The following is a 5,531-nucleotide window of genomic DNA, read 5'->3' as shown; positions in this document are numbered from 1 at the left end:
CCATTGCTGATACCCTTTCTTCCAGTTGATGGCATCGGCTCCTGAGGCTTCTGCATTCTTCACGTAGTTCTCGAGCCTTGGTTTTCAGCTCCATCAGCTCCTTTAAGCACTTCTCTGTATTGGTTATTCTAGTTATACATTCTTCTAAATTTTTTTCAAAGTTTTCAACTTCTTTGCCTTTGGTTTGAATGTCTTCCCGTAGCTCAGAGTAATTTGATCGTCTGAAGCCTTCTTCTCTCAGCTCGTCAAAGTCATTCTCCATCCAGCTTTGTTCTGTTGCTGGTGAGGAACTGCGTTCCTTTGGAAGAGGAGAGGCGCTCTGCGTTTTAGAGTTTCCAGTTTTTCTGTTCTGTTTTTTCCCCATCTTTGTGGTTTTATCTACTTTTGGTCTTTGATGATGGTGATGTACAGATGGGTTTTCGGTGTGGATGTCCTTTCTGTTTGTTAGTTTTCCTTCTAACAGACAGGACCCTCAGCTGCAGGTCTGTTGGAATACCCTGCCGTGTGAGGTGTCAGTGTGCCCCTGCTGGGGGGTGCCTCCCAGTTAGGCTGCTCGGGGGTCAGGGGTCAGGGACCCACTTGAGGAGGCAGTCTGCCTGTTCTCAGATCTCCAGCTGCGTGCTGGGAGAACCACTGCTCTCTTCAAAGCTGTCAGACAGGGACATTTAAGTCTGCAGAGGTTACTGCTGTCTTTTTGTTTGTCTGTGCCCTGCCCCCAGAGGTGGAGCCTACAGAGGCAGGCAGGCCTCCTTGAGCTGTGGTGGGCTCCACCCAGTTCGAGCTTCGGGGCTGCTTTGTTTACCTAAGCAAGCCTGGGCAATGGCGGGCGCCCCTCCCCCAGCCTCGCTGCCGCCTTGCAGTTTGATCTCAGACTGCTGTGCTAGCAATCAGCGAGATTCCGTGGGCGTAGGACCCTCCGAGCCAGGAGTGGGATATAGTCTCGTGGTGTGCCGTTTTTTAAGCCGGTCTGAAAAGCGCAATATTCGGGTGGGAGTGACCCGATTTTCCAGGTGCGTCTGTCACCCCTTTCTTTGACTCGGAAAGGGAATTCCCTGACCCCTTGCGCTTCCCAGGTGAGGCAATGCCTCGCCCTGCTTCGGCTCGTGCACGGTGCGCGCACCCACTGGCCTGCGCCCACTGTCTGGCACTCCCTAGTGAGATGAACCCGGTACCTCAGATGGAAATGCAGAAATCACCCGTCTTCTGTGTGGCTCACGCTGGGAGCTGTAGACCGGAGCTGTTCCTATTCGGCCATCTTGGCTCCTCCCCCCCACTTTGTGTTTATAATACTAAAATAAAACACACATACTGAAGATGCCAACTTTATAGCTTAAACTATATTATTGTATGTATAGTTAATAGAGATATATGACAATATAATCAGTACATTGTAAGTTTCCAAAGCTTCAAGAATGTGTATTTTAAAAAGCCCTCTTATGATGTCATCTAGCTGTATAATTTAGAAGAGTAAAGGCCTAAGGGCTGGCTTGTGTATCCTCATAGACATAAGACCAAGAAGGCAGCCATGGGACTACCATCTGTGTGTTGCATCCATCTTCAATATAAGTATAATCTGTCAACCCCTTTAAAAGAATTAGGAGGCCGAAGTGGGCGGATCACCTGAGGTCAAGAGTTGGAGACCAGTCTGCCCAACATTGTGAAACCCCGTCTCTACTAAAAATACAAAAAATTAGCCAGGCGTGGTTGTGGGCACCTGTAATCCCAACTACTTGCGAGGCTGAGGCAGGAGAATCACTTGAACCTGGGAGGCGGAGGTTGCAGTGAGCTGAGATCATACCACTGCCTTCCAGCCTGGGTGACGAGCGAAACTCCATCTCAGAAAAAAAAAAAAATTAGGTATAGTCCCTGTGGAAAATTTAATTCTAGAAATAATCAAATTCTGATGAAACACAACAAGAAGTGGTGTAAAATGCTTCCCACAATGGCCAACTGAGTTGTTAGGTTAGAGGGTTTAGTACTGACCCTAGATGTTGCCTAATAGCCACCAAATTCTAAGTAAATGAAACATAAAACAAAAATTAATTGATTCTCTCTTGTATTTTATATCAGTAATTACTCCATTTTTAAAAGTGCTTAAGAATCTTCCTACTTTGAAAGAATCAGGCCATATAATTAAATTTCTGGTTTATAATTTTGGAATAAGAAAAGATTCCCCTTTGTTAAAGTGGTAAAGATCAAACTTCATCCCCATTCTAAAGGCAATGTACAGAAAGAGTTAGTTTAAGAGATCAGTAAACACCAGGGATCCAGTATTTAGGAGAGTCAATGGAAAGATGTTCATTCTTATGAAAGGTGGCTTCTTTACCTTCTCTTTTTTCTCCTCCTCTTTCACTTCTGTTTCTGTTTTCTTCCTCTCTTTCACATTCCTTTAATTTTAACAAATTATTATGAAAGGTTGATCAACACATAGATATCTAAATATGTAGGTATCTATCCATTCTTATTGATTGGTTACGTGTGTAACAAATCAGTAAGAAAAAGGTCAGTAACAAAAAATTTATAAAAGTCATGAACAGGCAGTGAAGTTTCCCCTTGGCTTCTCTTCAGGAAAAGGGAACTATTGCTACTTTGTTGCATAAAATGAGGGAAGCTAGTGCTGTGACTCTACAAGGAATCTTTTGCCAGCTACTCTATGTCCGCTATCTGAACTTTATGAATAGTCCTCTTTTTTCTTTTTCTTTTTTCCTTTATTTCTTCTAAAAATATAAAATGGAATATATGTGTAGAATGTGCAGGTTTATTACATAGGTATACATGTGCCATAATAGTTTGCCGCATCTATTGACCCATCCTCTAAGTTCCCTTGCCTTACCCACCGACCCCCAACAGGCCCTGGTATGTGTTGTCCCCCTCTCTGTGTTCATGTGTTGTCAATATTCAACTCCCACTTATGAGTGAGAACATGCGGTGTTTGGTTTTCTGTTCTGTGTTAGTTTGCTGAGGATGATGGCTTCCAGCTTCATCCACGTCTCTGCAAAAGACATGATCACATTTCTTTTTATGGCTGCATAGTATTCCATGGTGTATATGTATCACATTTTCTTTATCCAGTCTATCATTGATGGCCATTTGGGCTGGTTCCACGTCTTTGCTATTGTAAACAGTGCTGTAATAAACATATGTGTGCATGTATGTTTATAGTAGAATGATTTATATTCCTTCGGGTATATACCTAGTAATGGGATTGCTGGGTCAAATGGTATTTCTGGTTCTAGATCCTTGAGGAATCACCACACTGTCTTCCACAATGGTTGAACTAATTTACACTCCCACCAACAGTGCAAAAGTATTCCTGTTTCTCTGCAGACTCACCAGCATCTATTGTTTCCTGACTTTTTAATAATCACCATTCCGACTGGCATGAGATGGTATCTCATTGTGGTTTTGATTTGCATTTCTCTGATGATCAGTGATGTTGAGCTTTTTTTCATATGTTTGTTGGCCATATAAATATTTTCTTTTGAGAAGTGTCTGTTCATATCCTTTGCCCACGTTTTGATGAAAACTTTTTTTTTTTGTTGTAAATATGTTTAAGTTTCTTTTAAATTCTGGATATTAGATATTTGTCAGATGGGTAGATTGGCAAAATTTTCTCCCATTCTGTAGGTTGCATGTTCAGAAAGCCAAATCATGAATGAACTCCCATTCACAATTGCTACAAAGAGAGTAAAATAACTAGGAATACAGCTAACGAGGGATGTGAAGGACCTCTTCAAGGAGAACTACAAACCACTGCTCAAGGAAATAAGAGAGGACACAAACAAATGGAAAAACATTCCATCCTCATGGATAGGAAGAATCAATATTGTGAAAATGGCCACACTACCCAAAATAATTTATAGATTCAATGCTATTCCCATCAAACTACCATTGACATTCCTCACAGAATTAGAATAAACTATTTTAAATTTCATATGGAATCAAAGATGACCCCATATAGCCAAGACAATTCTAAGCAAAAAGAACAAAGCTGGAGGCATTATGGTACCTGACTTCAAACTATACTACAAAGCTACCGTAACCAAAACAGCATGTTACTGGTACCAAAACTGACATATACACAAATGGAGCATAACAGAGACCTCAGAAATAACACCACACATCTACAACTATCTGATCTTCAACATACCTGACAAAAACAAGCAACAGTGAAAGGATCTTCTATTTGGTAGCTGGGAAAACTGGCTAACCATGTGCAGAAAACTGAAACAGGACCCCTTCCTTACACCTTATACTAAAATTAACTCAAGATGGATTAAAGACTTAAATGTAAAACCAAAAACCATAAAAACCCTATAAGAAAACCTAGGCAATACCATTCAGGACATAGGTGTGGGCAAAGACTTCATGACAAAAACACCAAAAGCAATTGCAACAAAAACCAAAATTGACAATTGTGATCTAATAAAACTAAAGAGCTTTAGCACAGCAAAAAAAACTATCATCAGAGTGAACAGGCAACCTCTTTTTTACTTAAAGACCTCCTGAGCTCTTTTCAGTTTAACATTTTAAAGCCAACAAACACAAAGAACAGGTCTTAAGGCAATTATATAATGCTGATTTCATGTGATTGAATCAACCTGACAAATACTCAAAACTGAAACAGAACTCCAAACCAATGCTGCTCACAAGGACATAAGCACAGCCTGGATAGATTTTTCAAGGTTGTGACAAGAACATGATGCAAGACTCCTTCCCCTAAAATGGCAAATCTGAGGAATGGAAAATCAACTGTGACCATGAAATGTATATTCATGTAGTTTCCAGTGTGATTTTTAATATTGGATAACCAACCCACCCAAAAGAAATGCAAGTAGACTACCTTCCCATGAAACTGCATGATTGTGCCCATATTTTGAAGAAGTGAAAATTAAAATAATAATAACTTCAATTTTTCTTATTTTCTCAAATAATAAAATATCTGTTAATATACAGGAGGAAGGAGGAACCTGTAGAGAATGAAGAAACAATCATTCTTATTCAAAGGGGGTCTAATTAGAATTATTTTAATCTGTTTTGATGGCAGTTTGGCAGGATCTATAAAAATATAAATATTTTACTTTGACTCAGCAATTTTAACTTCTAGAAGTTTATCATGTGGATATATTTGCACATGTATTAAAGAATATTTCTACAAATATATTTGCTGAAGTCCTGGTTATGATACCAAAAAACTGGAAGCCACCTAATATTTTTCATGTAATGATGCTATAGCCATACCAGGTAATACCAAACAATCATTAAAAAAGAAAGAAGAGTAGTTCCATATGTTTACATAATAAGGATCTTTTAAATATATTTCGATTTTTTAAATTGATGAATAATAATTCTACATATTCATGGGGTACACAGACATACGATACATATAATGTATAGTGATCAGATTAGGGTAATTAGCATATTCCTCTAAAATCAATTCTTAGAACAGTATTAAAATATATGCGAAGTTATGTTAAAGTGATAAATATGTAGATTATATGAACACTTTCTGAAATGATGTAGAGTAGCTG

At 39.3% G+C, this 5,531-nt stretch overlaps 1 annotated feature.

Moving 5' to 3' along the window:
• Positions 1,284-1,453: an enhancer, noted in NCBI's record as "experimental_73198 CRE fragment used in MPRA reporter constructs". NCBI's record gives its function as "activates a minimal promoter by MPRAs in K562 erythroleukemia cells, with activity observed for both the introgressed and non-introgressed 4:127849313 variant alleles {active_cell/tissue: K562}" and the evidence as "EXISTENCE:reporter gene assay evidence [ECO:0000049][PMID:34662402]".

The sequence above is a fragment of the Homo sapiens genome, chromosome 4 (assembly GCF_000001405.40).
Source record: "Homo sapiens chromosome 4, GRCh38.p14 Primary Assembly".
Taxonomy (NCBI): Eukaryota; Metazoa; Chordata; class Mammalia; order Primates; family Hominidae; genus Homo; species Homo sapiens.
This window is presented reverse-complemented; position numbering and strand designations above follow the sequence as displayed.